The 21,018-nt window shown below is 47.0% G+C and overlaps 1 protein-coding gene across 25 annotated transcripts in view, besides 1 other annotated feature; it reads left to right on the top strand.

Moving 5' to 3' along the window:
* Positions 1 to 8,703, top strand: part of PRDM15 (PR/SET domain 15) — an 81,120-nt gene extending 72,417 nt beyond the window's left edge. For 22 of the 25 annotated variants that reach the window (NR_104258.2, NR_104257.2, XM_047440940.1 and 19 more), the window contains 3 exons: positions 2,314 to 2,394; positions 4,007 to 4,216; positions 5,206 to 8,703. Coding sequence is in view for 20 of the 25 variants with exons in the window: in XM_047440940.1 (XP_047296896.1) it covers positions 2,314 to 2,394; positions 4,007 to 4,216; positions 5,206 to 5,688 (774 nt within the window). In the remaining 5 variants the exon portion in view is untranslated. Of the gene's footprint in view, positions 1 to 2,313; positions 2,395 to 4,006; positions 4,217 to 5,205 lie in introns of those variants that run through there. The other 3 variants (NR_135464.2, NR_104260.1, XR_007067792.1) reach the window with 2 other exon arrangements.
* Positions 10,108 to 10,608: an enhancer, noted in NCBI's record as "H3K27ac hESC enhancer chr21:43216480-43216980 (GRCh37/hg19 assembly coordinates)". NCBI's record gives its function as "activates a minimal SCP1, AML or CMV promoter by ChIP-STARR-seq in naive H9 embryonic stem cells {active_cell/tissue: H9 hESC(naive)}" and the evidence as "EXISTENCE:reporter gene assay evidence [ECO:0000049][PMID:30033119]".

Genomic DNA, 21,018 nt, shown 5'->3' with positions numbered 1-21,018 from the left:
GTGGTGATAGGGATGGTAGTGGTGATGCCACATGGTGGTAGTGGTGCTGATGGTGATGGCGGTGGTAGTGGTGATGGTGGTGACAGTCGTGGTGGTGATGATGGTAATGATAGTGATGGAGGAGGCGGTGATGGTGGTAATGGTGATGGAAGTGGTAGTGATGGTGGTGGCGGTGGTGATGGTGGTGGTATGGTGATGGTGATGGTGGTGATGTTGGTGGTAGTGATGGGTGGTGGTGGTGATGGTGGTGGTGATGGTGATGGTGGTGGTGGTGATGGTGGTGGTGATGGTGGTGGTGGTGATGATGGTGGTGATGATGGTGGTGGTAGTAATGGTGGTGGTGGTGATGGTGGTGGTATGGTGATGGTGATGGTGGTGATGTTGGTGGTAGTGATGGTGGTGGTGATGGTGGTGGTGATGGTGATGGTGGTGATGGTGGTGGTAGTAATGGGTGGTGCTGGTGGTGATGGTGATGGGTGGTGGTGATGGTGGTGGTGGTGATGGTGGTGGTGGTGATGGTGGTGGTGGTGGTGATGGTGGTGGTGGTGATGGTGGTAGTGATGGTGGTGGTGGTGATGGTGGTGGTGATGGTGATGGTGGTGGTGGTGATGGTGGTGGTGGTGATGGTGGTGGTGATGGTGATGGTGGTGGTGGTGATGGGTGGTGGTGATGGTGGTGGTGGTGATGGTGGTAGTGATGGTGGTGATGGTGATGGTGATGGTGATGGTGGTGGTGGTGATGGTGGTGGTGGTGATGGTGGTGGTGATGGTGATGGTGGTGGTGGTGGTGATGGTGGTGGTGATGGTGGTGGTGGTGGTGGTGATGGTGGTGGTGATGGTGGTGGTGGTGATGGTGGTGGTGATGGTGATGGTGGTGGTGGTGATGGTGGTGGTGATGGTGGTGGTGGTGATGGTGGTGGTGATGGTGGTGGTGGTGGTGATAGTGGTGATAGGAATGGCAGTGGTGGTGATGCCACGTGGTGGTAGTGGTACTGATGATGGTGGTGACAGTGTTGGTGGTGATGAGGGTAATGATAGTGATGGAGGGGGTGGTGATGGTGTTGTTAATGGTGATGGAGGTGGTTGTGTTGGTGGTGATGGTGTTGGTAATGGTGATGGAGGTGGTTGTGTTGGTGGTGGTGGTGTTGGTGTTGATGGTGATGATACTGATGATAGAGGTGGTAATGATGATGGTGGTGGTGGTGCTTATGGTGGTGATGGTGGTGACGGTAGAGAGTGCGTCCACAGCAGTCTGGTTGCTTTTGCTCAGGGTCCTTTGCGAGTGTCACAGTATAGATCTGTGCTCAGTGTCAATGAGAGTTACACTGGAGTCTTCAAAGCCATTGCAGGATTTATGTTAACTTAAAACACTTACAGACCAGCCTTTGTTTGCCATCTTTTCCAGGAAGGGGCCCAGACCTAGTCATGGAATGTAAATTTAATGATGCACTTCTCTCCTTTTTTAAATGAGTTACATCCACAAAGCATAGTCTGCTTTTTCATTTTAACTTCCTTTAGTTGATCAGAAATTTAAAGATGTTTGCAAAGCTGTTTGGGTGAAGCACCCTTACAGGCAGACTCTTGCTAATTTTGTTTTGCAGCCCCTCCCCTTTATCACGTTCGGCTGTCTCTGTACTCGTTGTCCGTTGTCTTTCTTATGATCTAATTAGGTCATCACAGGAACAAACGCAACTGCTGTAAGCAGGGTGTGGGCGGTGAAGGTCACTCACTTTTGGGCAGGACGCACTGAGCTGGTGGGAGGGCCCCTGTGGACACATGGGGCGTGCTGAGGACCCCGTTCAGTGGGGCCATTGGAGGGAAGGTAGGGGCAGGGCGTCACTTCATCACAAAACCAACAAATGAAAGCACTTGTGTATGGATTCAACTGAAAAGTACGATGTGTAAGGCACAAATGTCTCATTTTTGGTGATTGCTCATAGAACAAGTTTACTCTACTGTATCTTTACCTTGCTGTGGTCTCCCTTGGAAATAACAGAAGCGCCACTGAAACCTCACCCCTTTGGTGGGGGGCCAAAAAGGGAGGACATAGTCTCCCCACTGGGGGAGTGGACGTGAGATGATACAGGGGCAAGACCATTGTGGGAGCATGAAATAAGGGGTGAGGATAAGCCCTGGGCTTCTGGACACAGAGTTTCAAAGTCAGAGCTGAACAGAGGAGACTGGGAAGTGCGGGGGATGCCTGGGAGGGAAGGGCAGGAGTGGTGGAGGTGGTCCCAAGGCGTGTGTGGCTTCTGGGTTCCCACCTGCATCAGCAGCACCCTGACCCCCAGCTCATGCCCTGTGCTCCTCATAGGTGCTCGCGGTGAGGATCGATGACCTGGACCACCTCCCGGAGACCACCACCATCGACGCCTCCTCCATTGGCATCGTCCAGGTGAGCAGCATGGGGCCCCAGGGGCTCAGAAACTTTGGGGTAAGTGGACACCTGCAGAAGGGACCAGAGGGGCTTGGACAGGCCGGGAGGGAGCAGCTCTGGGCAAGCCTGTGGCCAGGTTACCCTGTTTTCTTGGCTTCTCTTCCCCTCAGAACCTCTTAGATCATCTCCTCGTTTCTGTAGTTTCTGTGACCTCAGTTTGTTGAATACTGGTGTATCTCACTTTGGAAAACAGATGTTTTCCAGAAAAAAATAGAAATTAGAACAATTGGCTGGGCGCGGTGGCTCACGCCTGTAATCCCAGCAATTTGGGAGGCCAAGGCGGGCAGATCACTTGAGGTCAGGAGTTCAAGACCAGCCTGGCCAACGTGGCAAAACCCTGTCTCTACTAAAAGTACAAAAATTAGCCAAATGTGGTAGTGCACGCCTGTAATCCCAGCTACTCAGGAGGCTGAGGCAGGAGAATTGCTTGAACCCAGGGGCGGAGGTTGCAATGAGCCGAGATTGTGCCACTGCGCTCCAGCCCAGGCAACAGAGCGAGACTGTGTCTGAAAAAAAAAAAAAAAAAAATCAGAACAATCATTAAAATGTTCTAAGCAAAATAAGTTTAAACATACCAATTAGATGAACTTAGTTTTTAAAGAAATTTTTAGTTAATACTAAACTTTCAGTTAGCAAAATTTTTTTTTATTTCAAAGAGAACGTGCCATGCTCTCAGTGGTCTAAGATCACATGTATGCCTCTCGTTCTGAAACAGCGCTTTAGAGTGCAGTCTTCATGAAGGGCACTGGGTCCGGCTGAGTGACGTACGGCGGCTCCAGCCCCAGCCCCAGAACCCACAGGCCATTTCTACCCTTGGCAAGTCACAGGCATGGGGGGGACGGGTCGTCCCACCATGACAGCGGTGTAGGCCCACGCTGGGTCTGTCTGCCACTGGGTTAGGATCAGGTTGTGTGGAATGGCACAGGAAGCCCAAGAGGAGTGGCAGGTGACCACTCACCGGCCACCACTGCCCCGCGGCCTCTGTGAGCCTGAGCGAGCCTGGTGAGCCGGCCCGGTTCAGAGGATGTGGTCACAGCCCAGCAGTGTCCTGGACACTTGCAGGGAATCGTGCGGGGAGGGGCCCACTGGGCTCACCACTGCAGCTGGGCCCTCGTTCCCTGTCCCTGCAGGTTTTGTGGTCAAATCTGTTTTAATTCAAAATTGTTTTTTATGGTGGATTCGTCTCAGCCCTGGGGAAGAGAGAGCCCTGATTTGAAAGCATTTTCAGCCTTGCTCTAGCAGCTCACCCGGGCAGAAACATTTCCCTTTGGAAATACCCAGTGGCTTAAAACGTTAAGTTTCTAAGAAGTGTTTACATTTTAGCATAAAATACAACTTTTAAAAATATGACTTGCATGTATTTTTTTTTTAAATCTGCAACTAAAGGAACTTGCCCCGATCCTTAGAAATACAAGACCCAGCTGTGGTCACTGTTTCTTGTGGCAGCTCGGTGGCCCACAAGCGTCCCCACTGATTGGAGAGTGTGTCCAGGGCAGTGCTGGGGCTGCCCTGGCCGCTGCCTGACGTGACCGACTAACCTGGTTCTCGGCTGAAACCGATTTTTCTGCAGCCTGAGCTGACTCTGGAGCAGGAGGATTTGGCCGAAGGGAAGCACGGGAAAGCTGCCAAGCGAAGTCACAAGAGAAAGCAGAAGCCAGAAGAGGAGGCGGGTGCTCCGGTGCCCGAGGACGCCACCTTCAGCGAATACTCAGAGAAAGAGACGGAGTTCACAGGCAGTGTAGGCGACGAGACCAATTCCGCAGTACAGAGCATTCAGCAGGTCAGTTTGCTGCTTTATGTTCTGATTAGGTGCCGGTCACTTTCCCTAAGCATGAGAGCCTTACGTGTGTGTGACTCCATCTCTTTTTACTATACACAGTGTACATGTGGACTTCATGTGGTTGAAGGCAGCAGACATTCTGTTTTTCACTTAAGCATGTTTCATGTAAGCATTTCTGAGTTCTGACCTACAAATCATGCTTGTCATTGTTAGTAGCAACATATATTCTAGCATGTTGAAGAGAGATATCCCTGCCCGGGTGGCAATTAGGTAGGCTGTTTGCAGTTTGGGGAGGTCACGGGTGGCCTACCCAAGTGCCCTTATGGTGAAAGCTCAGCCCTGTGCATTTGCTGACTAGCCGGAGAGCAAGGATCCCTCAGTCTGGAAGGTGAAGACAATCCCACAATCCCACTTTCTCGAGTGGAACCTTCTGTCTTGCTCAGCCTTCGTCACTTTTGCTTTTGAAGCCTCTGAGTGTTTGATCAGTCTGTGTCTAATACTGCACTTCTCTCTCTTGTTTTGGGGGATGGTAATCTTGACTGCAAAAGTTCCTCATTTATTTGGCCTTTCATCCCTCTCCATGAAAGAGAATGCTTTCTCTTATTAGCGATTGGTACTGCAAATACCTTTATTGCTCTTTGTAGCTTTGTGGTGGGATTTTCATTTACCAACAGCAGGGCACTTCAGAGGAATGGATAGAAAAGGAAGCATCTGTTTTCCGTCTTTTTCGTGCTTACTTTTTTCTATTTTTTTCTAGCCAGTGAAATTAATTTGTTTCTTAGTTCCTTCTCATTGCTTTCATGATTGTGTCTGTTTCTTGTTTTTGTTTCTCGCTGGAATTTTTCCAGAACAAAATTAACTCGGTTTCCTCTTTCACCAAAGAATGTCGTGCTTCTTTGGTGTGGTAACACAGAGCGCATCCTGGGGAGGTCCTTGCGTTCCCCATTTTGCAAAAATGAACGGATTTTTGTTGTGTGTGAATCTTCCAGGTAGTGGTGACCCTGGGTGACCCAAATGTGACCACACCATCGAGCTCAGTCGGCTTAACCAACATCACCGTGACCCCCATCACCACTGCGGCCGCGACTCAGTTTACCAATCTCCAGCCGGTGGCCGTGGGGCACCTTACCACCCCTGAACGCCAGTTACAGCTGGACAACTCAATCCTGACCGTGACCTTTGATACCGTCAGCGGCTCTGCCATGTTGCACAACCGCCAAAATGACGTCCAGATCCACCCCCAGCCGGAAGCCTCGAACCCACAGTCTGTGGCCCATTTCATCAACCTGACGACCCTGGTCAACTCCATCACGCCCCTGGGGAGCCAGCTTAGTGACCAGCACCCGCTCACGTGGCGGGCAGTGCCCCAGACTGACGTCTTGCCACCCTCGCAGCCGCAGGCACCCCCACAGCAGGCGGCCCAGCCCCAGGTGCAGGCGGAGCAGCAGCAGCAGCAGATGTACAGCTACTGAGCTGCGTTCCGGGAGACTCGGGGCAAGAACTGCAGAGGGATGTTTGGGATTTGTTTAGATGTGTTTGCTGGATACCAAACAAACAAAAAGTCATACATTGCAATGTAAGGTTGACTTAGCTTTGCAGAGTATCTCCAGATCCCCCGCCAGCAACCATTACGGTCTGTCAGCTTAACTCTAGAAGGGACCTCTGGCAGGCCAGAGTTTTAAACTGGATGGGGCTCCACACCATGCCTTACCAAGGCAGTAAGTCCTGGGCCGGGGCCGCATCTGCCTCCCCTTACAGAACCAGTGTTCGCCCGACACAGGGTTCGGGAAAGTGAAGCTGAGAGAGAAGCAGGATTTTAAGAGGCAGGAGATAAGTTATTAGGAACACAAATGGTTCATTTTCTTTTTTCTTTTAGAGCTCGGTTCCTATGAGAACACAGACAGTATTCACAGGTGGCAGCAGGCAGCAGGGAACATTTTCTCCTCACTTCTGGATTTTTTTGCAAGCGAGCACATAGAAGTTAAAGTAACGTGTATTCTCTTTGAACTAGGAGTGGAGTCGGTTCTTATACAACTATGGGCTGAAACCATGAGGCGTGCTGAGCCGCACCTGATCCTGCAACCTTCGAGGTCATCACGGTCATCATGTGCAAGGGGTCACGTGAGGTCACTGACTCCAGCTCAAAACGCATCTTAGTAATATCCATGAATCGATTTCCAATAGAGTTTTTTTCCTTTTTTTTTTTTAACTTTATTTCAAACATACATTATGTGTTCAAGACTGTTATGGCCAATATTGTGTTTTAGTTTTATGTTAACATGATAAAGTCATGTGCACTGTAGGACCATCTGTCCCTGTCCACCCTTCACAGCTGCCCAGATGCAGAGGGTCGCGCGGCTGTGTGTGAGGAGTGAGCCTCCCTGCTGCCCCCAGGGGCTCCTCCGGGTTGTCTCAGGATTCTCTGCAATCCAAATGTATCCATTCTGGCTGAAGCCCAGCCAGAATCCCGAGTGGAAGAAACGGGGGAAAAGTCATATTTTCCTTCTGTTTAAACTTCAATTCCAAAGGTTGGTGTATTTCATGACCAGTTTTCTATAAAAATATTGAATGAGTTTGGCTCTTTACAATGGAAAAGTGTAGGTATTTCTGAAACACAGAGAAAATGCTATTTCCTGCCAGGTGGTAATGAAAGCAGAGAGGTTAGTTCACTAATAGAAGCATTAATTGCCCCTAAAACTGAATGTGCGGTGAACAGCCAGGTCTGCGTGTGCGGGGACACGTGCTGTCACGTCTGTGTACCAGTTTCGGGGGCAGGGGCCAGGGTTGGGGGAGGCACCCAGCCCTCCTGCTGCCCACGACAAGAAACACTGAGAGGTGTGGGGAGAAGTTTGCTCTTAACTTTCCTGGTACTCTGTTTGTGGCCACAGTGAGAGGACAAACCTGCCTTAAGGTGTCCTGCTTTGCCAGTTATCCCAGATCCTGCACTCACTGGGAGTCCATCTTGAGGAAACACTGGCATGGCTGAGTAATTGATCAGGAGCAGTCCTGATGTTGCCAGCAGAACAAAGGATGATTGTGTTTTTCAAAACGCAACTTTCTCAGCACTTCACTCCAAACAGCAGACTTTTGAGGACAGGGCTGGAATTTGTTTTGTGCAATATATGCCTTCATGAACTAAGGAATGTTCATCCCCAGGCAGCATGCAGGAGGGTCTGTGGGGCTCACCTCCTCACCTTACCCACCATCACTCGCGCCTAGCTCTCACCTCTCAGTTGAATGAATAGTGGGAGATCATTTGACTTTTAATTTATGAGAATTATTTTATGTTATTTATGTATATAATTAACTGTTTTATACATAGTAGTCTCATCAAATGAATTCGGGCTTGGGGTGATATTGTCTCCATTCTCCAGATACAAGTGCTCCAGGCATCCATGGAATCAGCAGGAGACCAGGGCTCCTAAGATATATTTTTAAAAATCAGTATCGATTTCTTTTTGCCTTTGCAGAATCTAAAGGGCAAATGACCTCGCAGAGACTCCCAACGGGCTTTGGGCTCATGACGAAACACCCACTAGCATTGATCTTTTATTCCTCTTCCCTATAAAATAAAGGCCTTGGAAATCACAATTTTATTTTTTTAAAGAAGTTGTTTTAGTGCCTAGAGTAAGACCGCATCAAATGTTGTTAAAGAACCTAATTTAGATTGTGTGGTATATACCACTGTTTATCTCAATACACAGACACCTCTTACTTCTTGTTATAAGTGAGAACTCTAAAGAAAAATCAAACTCCCAAGTTTTCTGTAAACATACGTGGTCTTAATAGGGTCACTGTCTGAGGCAAAATGGGTTGTCTTAAAGCAATTGCTACAAATTTGCATCAAAGAAACTAGATAGCAAAATACAACAACCATGTACCACCCAGGCAGAAGAGTCCTCACCTATACGCAGTTCTGCATATTGATCATCATGACAGGAAGTATTTCGTTTTTTAACTGATCCCAGGTGCACAGATGTATTCATAAAGGAAGACATTAGATCCAGCCATTGTGGCCACCAGGCTCTGTGGACCCATCTCAGTGGAGAATTCGTTTTGGACCCGTGGCTCCGTGCAGCTGTGGACTCGAGTGCCATCCACTGGTGTGAGTCTTGCGGGGAGGCCACAGGTACAGCTGCTCCCCGTGAATCCTGGTCTGTGGGTTGAGAAGGGGCTCGGGCCTCTGGAATGCTCTAGCGTGTGACGTGTTCTCAGGAAAACGTTCTGTGCCAAGTGCCGCCTCGCTGTGTCCGGCATGGGACTGCGCTGGAGGGTCCGGCGTGGAAGGCAGACCTCCTGTACCTCTATCGTTCCCATTTGTGGCATCCAAAGGCGGAAGGCTCATGGCTTCCCCACTAGAGGCGGCGTCTTGGGCTTTCCCATTGGATTGTGAAAGGCATTAAGACTGTTTGGAGATGTTGGCTGTATTTCCTGTCACATCAGGTTGTATGATGACGAATAAAAGGTGCTGTGACCCGTGTTTTCAATTGCTGGCCTTCTGCTCCCGCTGCCTGTTAGGGAAGGTGGTGCAGTTCATATACTTTGAGAACGCTCACGATTCCTGCCGTCAGCCACATCTTGATTCCTCTCAGGTCCAGAACTCATAAAATGTTTGGATTATTTGAAATGTTCCCTGAGATATTGAGGTATCAGAAGCTTTCACAGGGATTGCCAAAAAAAAAAAAAAGCCACCAAGAGGGTGCATGTAGCATTTTTTGTAAAGCTTAGATTGAGAGAGAACAGGCACCAAAAAGATTGACAGCTAGAAAGAGGCGAATACTTCAGCAGGAGTTTCTTTGGGCAGATGGTCTGGAATGACCCCTTATCTTATTGATCTTTTGATCAAATATTGAATGATGTATTCTAATTTGCTAGGTTTTTTTTTTTTTTTTTTTTTTTTGAGACAGTGTCTCGCTCTGTCACCCAGGCTGGAGTGCAGTGGTGAGATCTCGACTCCCTGCAGCCTCCGCCTCCCAGGTTCCCGTGATTCTCCTGCCTCAGCCTCCCAAGTAGCTGAGATTACAGGTGCCTACCACCATGCCTGGCTAATTTTTGTATTTTTAGTATAGACAGGGTTTCGCCATGCTGGCCAGGCTGGTCTCGAACTCCTGGCCTCAAACGATCCACCCACCTCAGTCTCCCAAAGTGCTGGGATTACAGGCATGAGCCACTGCACTCGGCCTGCTAGGTCATTTTAAAGTTAGGAAACACCTTACATATCCAGTCTTCTGAGGATTTAACCTGTGAGAACCAAGCCTTGGATATTTTTGTTGTATTTTAGGTAGCATCTGCCAGCAATGAATTCTGCCAGGAAGTAGGATTCATTCATTTCACGTTTGGCCACCTGTGAGCAAGTCCTTGTGTGTGCCAGCCCTGTGTGGTTCTCATTGCACACAAAGGCAGACTTTCAGCCTTTCAGAACACTGCAGGGAGAAACGGTGGTGATGTTGTTAGCATGTTAGCATGCACATTCGATTCATCAGTGCCCCCATGTTTCTTTCAGGGTGCAAATTACCACCTAGTGATTTGCTCTGCTAAAAGCCATGCAGTGTGGTGGAAAACTGACAAGCACACAGTCTGAATACGGCCTTTTCACAAGCATTAGGCACAAGCTCCGTAGAGAGGGGAACAGAGCGGGCCATTGGCTTCTTCCCCATCAGGTTGTACATCTGGTGTGAGTGTATTCTCACAGGGGTCCTCGTTCTGGCCTGACAGGGATGAGTGACCTTGCCTGTATGGCGGTGCAATCATCAGAATCATCTGGAAGTGGCGCTGGGTTGCCCGGACAAAGCTGGCCGGGGCCTCCCCTTCCACCCAAGCCTTGCTTCCAGTGAAGCTGAGAGCTTCTCCTCCCTTAGCCGGGGAATGTGGCTCCCCTGAGCCCAGGGTTCCCAAGTGCAGGCAGCTCGCATTCCGTGTCCTCGAAGCATGGCAGCCACATCCAGACTGTCTTGGAGCCAAGTAGCCCGTTCTTTCCCCACTGACAGGCTTGCCTTCTATGTGTTTTATAAAGAGGGAGACCATGGGGAAGGCACCCTTCATTGGAATGTGGACCTACCTGTCTAGAGACACACCACTGCTCAGCACACCTCTGGGTAGAGGGAGGACCAGACCCAAGACTTCACTCCTGCCAATATAGCCTGTTCCCCGAGTGAGACATTCAGTTCCTCCTGAACACTGGTGCATCTGTGAGAAACAGACTCATCCGTCCAAACCCAAAGAACGGACTCAGAGACCCGAAGAACAGCAGAAGTGAGACTTTTAATGATGGTCTTGCAAGATTGGGTGTCTGATGGGCAGGCACACCCAGTGCAGTTTCAACAAACAATGTATCCCCTAGTGTGCAGGTCCCTCCCCGAGTTCCTCATAGGCTGAGCACTATGGGCTCACAACCTTCCCAGACATCACCTATTGGTTGTTGGGCAGGGGTCTTAGGTGTCTTTTTAGGGTTTTCCTGCTGCATTTTGTTGCAGCCCACAATGCTTTGCAATCCTAGTCAGCCCAGGGGCTCTTCAAGCATTTGACTTATGACCTAAGTAGCTGGGCACGCTGATACGAATAGATAAAATGAGCTATTTTGCAGGCTAGTAAACTTTCATCTTAGACTAAATTTCTTTGGTTTGGGTGAGGGCAACGAAGGGGGAGGGGAGAAAGGGGGAAGGGGGAGGCTGACAAGCAGGCATTGATGATCCAAGCAGAGGTCTAGTGTATCCTGTTTCTTAGGTAGTTTGCTGACCTAAGCCAATTCAAGGCAGTTTGTCTTGGAGATGGACCACTGCATACATTACTTCCTTCACGTCACCACATTTGCATCACAATTTGGGGCTTGACCTGAACACTAGCTGTTTTCTTCTCTCTTGAGTTTTAGTCACAAAATCTTACAGCAAGGTAATGAAGGAAAGAGAGGCACCTGCCTCCATGTTGTAGGAAACAGCCTCTAGAAACCCAGAGGCTGCCCTTGCTGCTTATCTAAAACCGTCTGGAAGAGGCATGCTGGCCTCAGGAGAGTCCTATGTGTCCTTTGTATTTTGCCATTTTTTCCTTGAATTAAAGCGTACAATTCCTCTCTACCTGCGGGTCTCACCGGATCATCAAGCTCAGCACGTCCAGCTCATAGAGTTCACACGCCCTTTCCCCGGCCCGGCCCCAAACCTGGCCCTTCCCCACTGACCCTATGCTCAGCCAACAGCCCTGTCATCACTAAACACACAAGCTCAGAGCCCAGCTTCATCCTGGACTTGCCCTGCTTCCCACCTTGACATCCAAGTGTTTGCAAAAATGTCCAGGTTTTAAGACCAGGTGTGGTGCCTCATGCCTGTAATCCTAACATTTTGGATGCCAAGGCAGGAGGATCACTTGAGGTCAGATGTTCAAGACCAGCCTGAACAACATAGTGAGACCCCATCTCTTAAAGGAAGAAAAAGAAAATGTCCATATTTCACCATGTCCTCCACTATTCCCCGACTCCAGGTTTCCAGCTGACACCTCCTAAGTGCCTGTCAGCTTCCACTCTTGTCCCAGGAAGTCTATTCTCCGTGCCGTCACCTCAGTAACCCTTGAAGGTGTACATTCTACAGTGTGGCCCACACACCAAGCCCAGCGTCCTCCCTTGGATCCTGAGAGCTCTCTGAATACCCACAGATCCTTTCTGCAGCCTCCAGGTCTGTAGGGCCTGGCCCTGCTTCCTGCCAGCCAGTCTTCCTTCTCACCCGCCACCACCCCTCACCAGGGTCTTGCATCTGCCATTCATACTGTATGGAGGGGCTCACACAGGCAATTCAATTGTCTGATCTAAACATTTCTGCTTCTGACCCTGATGGGGTAGGAACTAGACTTAACTCTTCTGCTTGAACCAGCTAAAAAGCCCAGACACGGCCGGGCGTGGTGGCTCATGCCTGTAATCCCAGCACTTTGAGTGGTCGAGGTGGGCAGATCACTTGAGGTCAGGAGTTTGAGACCAGCCTGGCCAACATGGTGAAACACCGCCTCTACTGAAAATACAAACATTAGCCGGGCGTGGTGGTGGGCGTCTGTGATCCCAGCTACTTGGGAGGTGAGGCACGAGAATTGCTTAAACCCAGCAGGCAGAGGTTGCAGTGAGCTGACATCGCACCACTGCGCTCCTGCCTGGGTGACAGAGTGAGACTCGTCTCAAAAAAAAAAAAAAAAAAAAGCCCAGACACAATATATGGCCATCAGGAGTGAAGACAGTGGTCCCTGAGAGATGAAAAACAAGCCAGGTGAATCCCATGACTGCCCAGCATATGGACTGGAGAGACTTCCCAGGCCACAGTGCAGAGAGGGAGACAAGGCAGGGCACAGCAGTCCCTGAACTGATGAGACAAAGGTAAGGTCCAGGACGGACAAGGTAGCCAGAGTTCTCAGGGCAGGGTATGGGGGAGGAGAGGGCTGTGCAGAGACAGCGCCAGAGCTCAACAGAGGACCCCATGACTCTCAGCTGAGTACGGACAAGCACGCATGTGAGGAAGTGACCTGTTCCCAGCATGCAGAGAGAAAAAATTCTCTAATTTAGGGAAATTTGGGCAGAGTTCTCAGAAGCATTTTGCCTAAAAATGAGGAGAAATGACCCCTAAACCTTACTCTGGTCCCACTGAACAAAGCTTCATAGCAAAACGTGGAAAAGATCAAAGTGTTTCCAAGACGCTTCACTGAATCCCAGAACAATGCTCAAGGATATTTTATAGAGATACAAGAACACCTCACACCCAGCAATGCAAAATCAGGACAGCACCCAATCAAAAATGACCACGCATGCAAAGAATCAGGAAAATACAACTCATGATAAGGAGCAAAATTAACCCATCAAATCTTCTTGGAAATGACAGAATTGGTAGACAAAGATAAGAGAAATTATGACTGTTTTTCAGATGTTCTAAAAGCTAGAGGAATAATTAAATAATTAAACCTGTTAAAGGCATGAAAGATGTAGTTTTTTAAAAACAAAATGAATTGAACTTCCAGAGATGAAAATTTCAGTGATGACATGACAAACATACTGGATAGTATTCACAGCAGGTCAGATATTGCAGAAGAAAAGATCAGTGAAGCTAGGGCAATAAAAAAAAAACTATTCAAAATAAAATGCACAGAAAAAGAAGAGGGAGAAAATGAACAGAGCATCAGCGAGCTTTGAGATAACTTCAAGCAGCCTAATATATGTTATTAGAGTTTTTGAAGAGTCCTTGGAAGAAAAGGGAAAGAGATGGAAAAAAATATCTGAAGAAATAGTGAAGCCGGGTGCAGTGGCTCATGCCTGTAATCCCAGCACTTTGGGAGGCCGAGGCGGGCGGATCACGAGGTCAAGAGATCGAGACCATCCTGGCCAACATGGTAAAACCCTGTCTCTACTAAAAATACAAAAGTTATCCCGGTGTGGTGGTGCACGCCTGTAGTCCCAGCTACTCGGGAGGCTGAGGCAGGAGAATTGCTTGAACCCGGGAGGTGGAGGTGGCAGTGAGCCGAGATCGCGCCACTGCACTCCAGCCTGGGCAACAGAGCCAGACTCTGTCTCAAAAAAAAAAAAAAAGAATGAGCAAAATGTTGTCAAATTTGCCGAAAGCCATAAAACTACATATCTGAGAAGCTCAGTGATCACCAAGCACAAGAATCATGAAGAAAACTATGTTAAGGCATTTACTAATCAAATTGCTGAAAACCAGTAATAAGGACAAAAACCCGGAAGAATCCAGAGGAAAGACATATCACATACAGAGGAACAAAGATAATGATGACACGTCAAATTCACATCAAGGAGATGCAAGCCAGAAGACACTGGAGCAACATAGGGAAAGCATTGAAAGCAACTGTCAGGATAAATTCTATACCCAGCAAAAATATCTTTCAAAAAAGAAGGCCAAATAAAGGGGTTTAGATAATAATCCTGAAAGACACAACCCTGAACACAATATTCCCGAATGTTGAAATCTCAGAAGATCAAAATCCCTAAAGGGTAAAATCCTGAAAATCACAATCATAGCATAGTTGCATCATGTTAAGTAAAACTATCAGCTTATTGTCTTTATTTGGAAATTAAGTATGGTCAAATGAGATACCTATGTGTGCCAAGTTGACCAGGGTTGGCACATGTGGACTGAATTTTAGATGTCAACTTACCTGGATTGAAGAATACCTAGAAACCTGGTAAAGTATTCTTTCGGGTGTGTCTGTGAGTCTCCTGGGGAAATTATTGTGCAAGTCTGAGTGGACGAGGTGAGCAAGATCTGCCCTCAATGCTGGCAGGCACCATCCAATCAGCTGGGGTGCCCGAGAGAACAAATACAGAAGGCAAGTTGGTCTATCTCTGAGAGCTTGGACAGACGTTTCTTCTGCTGCCTTGGACATCAGAAAATGTTGAAACTTCCTCAGTAAATGAAGAGATGTTCTTTTTGTACATTTGCATTTGTGAAAGATAAAATTTATCCAGATTTCGGCTCTTTGGGCAACTACATGCAGTGGTGACCCGTCGGGGGTTTTGATTGATCTTGTTGAAAGACACTTTGTTCGTTTGGTATTTCAGATGACCACAGTTAGAAAGCTGGGTGTGCGCAATTACCGATAGTGACATGTGTTTTTACCTTTCCGTTTTGACCTATTTCTTTATGAATGTGGTTCATCTGGCCAGGCGCAGTGGCTCACGCCTGTAATCCCAGCACTTTGGGAGGCTGAGGCGGGCAGATCACCTGAGGCCAGGAGTTCAAGACCAGCCTGGCCAACATGACGAAACCTCGTCTCTACTAAAAGTACAAAAATTAGCCAGGCGTGGTGGCATGTGCCTGTAATTCCAGCTACTCAGGAGGCTCAGGCAGGAGAATTGCTTGAACCCAGAAGGCAGAGATTGCAGTGAGCTGAGATCGCACCATTGCACTCCAGCCTGGGCAACAAGAGCGAGACTCCATCTCAAAAAAAAAAGAATGTGGTTCATCTGCTCATAACCTGTGCGACTGTCATTAGTTTACCTGAGTGTTTACGCTTGCAAAGTATATGTTATTATTATCACCTATTTTGTTGTATAAAGTGGTCTATGAAGTGTGCAGTCCTGTTTTGATATGTTTCTGAACTGCAATATCTTTTAAATGTTTTTAAAAATTATTTTTTCCAGAATTATATTTTCAGGATTTTGATCTTTTGGGGTTGTGATTTTCAGGTTTGATCTTCTGGGATTTCAGCGTTTGGGGTTATGGTGTTTGGGATTGTGTTTTTGGGGATTATAATCAGCTCCCCAATTAAAGACTTTTCCAGACACACAAGGCTGAAGGAGTTCAGTGTCAGTAGCCTGCAGTGCGAGTTCTCTTTAAGGAAGTCTTCCACGCAGAGCGAAGGTGATAGCAGGTGGGAATCTGGACCTGTCCAAGGACACAGAGAACAATGGAAATGGTAACAATGTGGGTAGATTCAAATACTTTATTATCTTATCAGTTAAATATATTTAAAAGTCAAGCAAAAGTAAAGATGATGTATTATGGGACTTATAATATAGAGACCTATAAAATGTACGAGAGGCCATGTGTGATGGCTCACACTTGTAATACCAGCATTTTGGGAGGCTGAGGCAGGAGGATCACTTGAGGCCAGGAGTTTGAAACCAGGCTGGGCAACATAGTGAGACCCTATTTCCACAAAAAAAAATAAAACAAACAAAAAAAATAGCTGGTGTGTAGTATGTGCCTGTAGTTCCAGCTATTCAGGAGGCTGAGGTGGGAGGATCACTTGAACCTGGCAGATCAAGGCTGCAGTAGGCGATGATTGTGCCACTGCACTCCAGCCTCTCCCATCCCTACCCCATTCCCTAGCCCCCGATCCCTCCCCCATTTCCTAGCCTCCCCATCCCTCCCCAATTCTCTAGTCTCCCCATCCCTCCCCATTCCCTCCCCTCCCCCATCCCTCCCCCATTCCCTAGCCTCCCTGATCCCTCCCCATTCCCTAGCCTCCCCCATCCCTCCCCGATTCCCTACCCTCCCTGATCCCTCCCCCATTCCCTACCCTCCCCCATTCCCTAGCCTCCCTGATCCCTCCCCAATTCCCTACCCTCCCCAATCCCTCCCCCATTCCCTCCCCTCCCCATCCCTCCCCCATTCCCTAGCCTCCCTGATCCCTCCCCATTCCCTACCCTCCCCAATCCCTCCCCCATTCCCTAGCCTCAGGCAATCACCATCTGCTCTCTACCTCTATAATTTTGTCATTTCAAGAATGTTATATAAAATGGAATCATACATTCTATAACTTTAAAAAATATGGTATATTTGTCTATCAAGGTATTATTCTTTACATGTTAACCATGCTTTTTTTTTTTTTTTTTTTTCTGAGACAGTCTCACTCCATTGCCCAAGCTGGAGTGCAGTGGCACAATGCTGGCTCACTGCAACCTCCACCTCCCAGCTTCAAGCGATTCTCCTGCCTCAGCCTCCCGAGTAGCTAGGATTACAAGTGCGTGCCACCACACCGGCTGATTTGTGTATTTTCAGGAGAGACTGGGTCTCACCATGTTGGCTAGCCTGGTCTCGAACTTCTGACCTCAGGTGATCCGTCCACCTTGGCCTCCCAAAACCATGATTTTTTAATGGAAACTTTTATTGAGATAGCAGATCACATAAAACCAACTTTTACTGAGATAGTAGATTCACATACAGTTATCGAAAATCATTCAGAGAGATCTCTTATACTTTGTCTGGTTTCCCCCAGCGGTAACAGTTTGAAAAACTATTGTACTAGATCACAGTTAGATTTGACTTTGATATAATCCACTGGTCTTATTCAGATTTCATTTATACCCTGTGTGTGTGTTTGTGTGTGTATTAGATTCTATACAATGCTGGTGTATCATTGTGTTGGTCTGTTTATCTGCCCCACGTCAAGATACCAAATGTATCACTTTTTGAGATTGGTTTTTCCTTTTTTTCTTTTGTGTTTGTTTTTGAGACAGAGTCTCCCTCTGTCACCCAGGCTGGAGTGCAGTGGCTCAATCTCAGCTCACTGCAACCTCCACCTCCCGGGTTCAAGCGATTCTCCTGCCTCAGCCTCCTGAGTAGCTGGGATTACAGGTGTGCGCCACCATGCCCGTCTAATTTTGTATTTTTTTAGTAGAGACTGGGTTTCACCATGTTGGCCAGGGTGGTCTCAATCTTCTGACCTTGTGATTTTCCACTCAGCATCTCCACCCTGGAGATGCTCCCAAGTTGCTGGGTGTGTCAACAGTTCATTCCTTTTCATTGCTGAGACCATTATGCGGGTACACTATGGTTTATTTAGGCAGTAGCCCATTGAAGGACAATTTTGGGTTGTTTCCAGTTTGCAGCTATTCTGAATCAAAGTTGCTATGAATATTTGTGTGAATATTTTTGTGTACATGAGTTTTCATTTCTCTGGAATAAATGCCCAGGAGTCAGATTACAGAATTGAAGATCAGTGTATAGGTTTCTGGGGAATAATTGTGGAACTGCCTTATAACCAATGTTAAATCATTTAAAATGTGGTTTGTATTTTCCATGTAACTAGTATTGTGTAGTACGGGTTGTACAAATTATTCATGCTGTATTCTAAGAGAAAAATTTAACAATTAAGATCATAATTTGGAGAGATAAGAGAAAGAATTTGCCCAGTTCGGATGAACCATGGGGAGAAAAGGCTCCCAACATCTTTTACTGTTAACCATGTTTTTTCTGGGTCTAGGTGTTGTTGGAAGACATACTTCCTTAGCCATCAAAGCTTTGAAGCTTCAAACCAATAGCTGAAAGTGTTCTATCCAGTTTGAATTATCACTTGAAATTTTCAAGTCTTCATGAGCCTCGAAAATCCTCATCTCCAATGATTCACTCTTATTAATAAGATCACTAATGAATTCTTCAACTTTGTTCATTAAGTTATATTTGTTGTCCCTTTTCAGCAAATGGTAAAACATGATTATTCAAGCCTTTTAATTCTCCATGCTACCTTAATGATTAATGGAATGTAACTGTCCAGTAGAAAATGGTTCTTTATGACAAGTGATCTTTATTATGCTCGATGATTACATAATGGAAATAGCAAATGAAAAAGGCATTTATCTGACATCATTATGTAAATCTCATGTCTAAAATTGTAGTACATTCTGATGCCCCCTGGGTACATGTTGGCATTTAAATATAGAAGCTAGCGGTGTATTACTGTGCCTTATTTGGTTTTAAACAATCATATTCCCTGGACTGTCCCCATACATCCCAACCATTCCTATATAACCTTCTGGTGCCCAGCTTGGGACAGTCTATTAGAGAGGCTTGATAGATAAAATTAAAAAACAGTGGAAACTCCCAGTAAATACCACAGTGAAAAAAATACCCATGTCACATGCTCTAAGTATCTTCGTATCTTAGTCTCCCAAGCTAAGATCTTTTTACTGCAGGTGGTTCTCCACTTGGTAGATTGGACACTGATTTGTTTAGTGTCCAGAGCTTTAGAAACAGAGCTAAAATGTGTTCCTAGATTTTCAGTTACTATATGGGTCTTGAAAGCATCAGTAAAAATATAAAATTGAAAAGAATTCTATTCAAATATCCAGCTCATCAATTTAGGATAAGAGGAATAGCCCGATGTGCTATACTCAGTCATTCTACTAACATCGGCTCAGTCACCCCCTGAAATAATTGTTATCTCATTATTAGATGATTTAGGTTTCTCAATAAAAAGAATTCATTGTCAGTAAAACTGAATCATTCATTACTATTAGTTTTTTGAGGGAGAGTCTGACTTATGTCACTCAGACTGGAGTGCAGTGGTGCGATCACGGCTCACTGCAGCCTCAACTTCCTGGGTTTGGGTGATTCTCTTACCTCAGATTCCCGAGTAGCTGGGACTACAGGTGTGCACCACCATGCCCAGGTAATTTCTTTTTTTGGTATATCTTTGTTGAGACAGGGTTTCACCATGTTGCCCAGACTGGTCTCTAACCCCAGGACTCAAGCGATCTGCCCGCTTCAGCCTCCCAAAACGCTGAGATGACAGGCATACACCACCACACCTGGCCTCAGTAAAATATCATTACAAAATATTGTCTGAATGAATCTTTAATTTGATGTTTGTGGAACTGGGGTTCTTTTCTTTGTTTTTGGATCACTGTCAGTACTTTGGGAGAAATTGGGAATTGTGAGAGGCTGCTAGGCCCTTACTCAGGCCGAATAATTCTTTTAAGGAGAAGAACAATGAGAACGTGGATGGCGCACACTAGGCGGAAATGCATGGGCCCTAATGAAGAGCATCCCTCCAAGATTCAGTGGAACATTCCCAAAACAACCAGCAAGCAAATGTGTCACCAAACAGTGCAGAGACTTTTGTTTTTAAAACCAGGGACCTATTTGTGTGTGTGTGTGTGTGTGTGTGTGTGTGTGTGTGTGTGTGTGTGTTTCAAGATGGAGTTTTGCTCTTTTTGCCCAGGCTGGAGTGCAATGGTGCGATCTCGGCTCACTGCAACCTCCACCTCCCGGGTTCAAGTGACTCTCCTGCCTTAGCCTCCCGGATAGCTGCGATTACAGGTGCCCACCACCACGCCCAGCTAATTTTGTATTTTTAGTAGAGATGGGGTTTCTCCATGTTGGTCAGGCTGGTCTCGAACTCCCGACCTCAGGTGATCCAGCCGCCTTGGCCTCCCAAAGTGCTGGGATTACAGGCATGAGCCACTGCGCCCAGCTCATTTTTTTTTTTTTTTAATTTAAAAGGTAACAGCAAAACGCTCAATCGCTTTCCTGGCTCCTGACTGCTGTTTGCGATGTTTGCTGTCACGGCTGCAAACACAGCTGCCCGGGGAACTTTGTCCCACTCTGGATGTAATTAGCCACCCCCAACCCACACCTGCCTTCAGGTGGCGTCAAAGCTGAAATATTTTAACTGGTTATTCACCAGCCAGAGTCAGACTTCTGACTCGACGAGGCTTAACCTCAGCTTTGGTTTTCCGTGCAAATTGCTGTGAGAACTTCTGATGGGTGGACAAGTGGCTCCAGGCTCCAGTGACTCACAGCTGAGCCGAGCGTCCTTTTCCTCAACTCGGGACCAAATCAAGTTTTATAGCCCCCGGCAGCAACTTGACAACCATTGTTTCAAGCCAAGAGCAAGAACATGGCTAAACTACCCCAGACATGATTTATTTTCTTATTAATGAAACAAGTTGGAGAGATTTCCCAACTTCACGCAATCATCCAACAGCATTCCTGTCCACAAACTTCCTTGTGTTGGATTCTTTAGGATATTTCCTCCCGTTCTGTTCTTCTAAAGATCAAGTAGAGGTAATGATAGCCTTATGTCTAATAACCTTTCACTTCTTCAATCCACAGACTAACTCCTCATCCAGCCCTGCGTCGTTAACCGTTTTCTCCAGGCAATTTCTCCCCTCTTTGACTTTCCTACGAACCTTCAAGGACTTCAAGAATTGGTTGGAAGCCTTAACAGCTTTAAGTACTATTTGACATATTCTCCTTGAAGAGTCTCTGAAATTTACCATTTCTTTTTCTTTTCTTTTCTTTCTTTCTTTTTTTTTTTTTTTTTTTTTTTTTTTTTGAGACAGGATTTCCCTCTGTGGCCCAGACTGGAGTGCAGTGGTGTGATCATGGCTCACTGCAGCCTCGACCTCACGGGTTCGAGCCATCCTCCCACCTCAGCTTCCCAAGTAGCTGAGACTACAGGCATGAACCATCATGCCAGCTAATTTTTTTTTTTTTTTGTAGAGACAGAGTCTCACTATGTTGCCCGGGCTGGTCTTGAATTCTTAGGCTCAAGCAATCCTCCCACCTTGGCCTCCCAAAGTGCTGGGATTATAGGTG

This window comes from Homo sapiens, chromosome 21 (assembly GCF_000001405.40).
Source record: "Homo sapiens chromosome 21, GRCh38.p14 Primary Assembly".
NCBI classification, from domain to species: Eukaryota; Metazoa; Chordata; class Mammalia; order Primates; family Hominidae; genus Homo; species Homo sapiens.
Note: the sequence above shows the minus strand (reverse complement) of the source record. Positions and strands in the feature narration are given on the sequence as shown.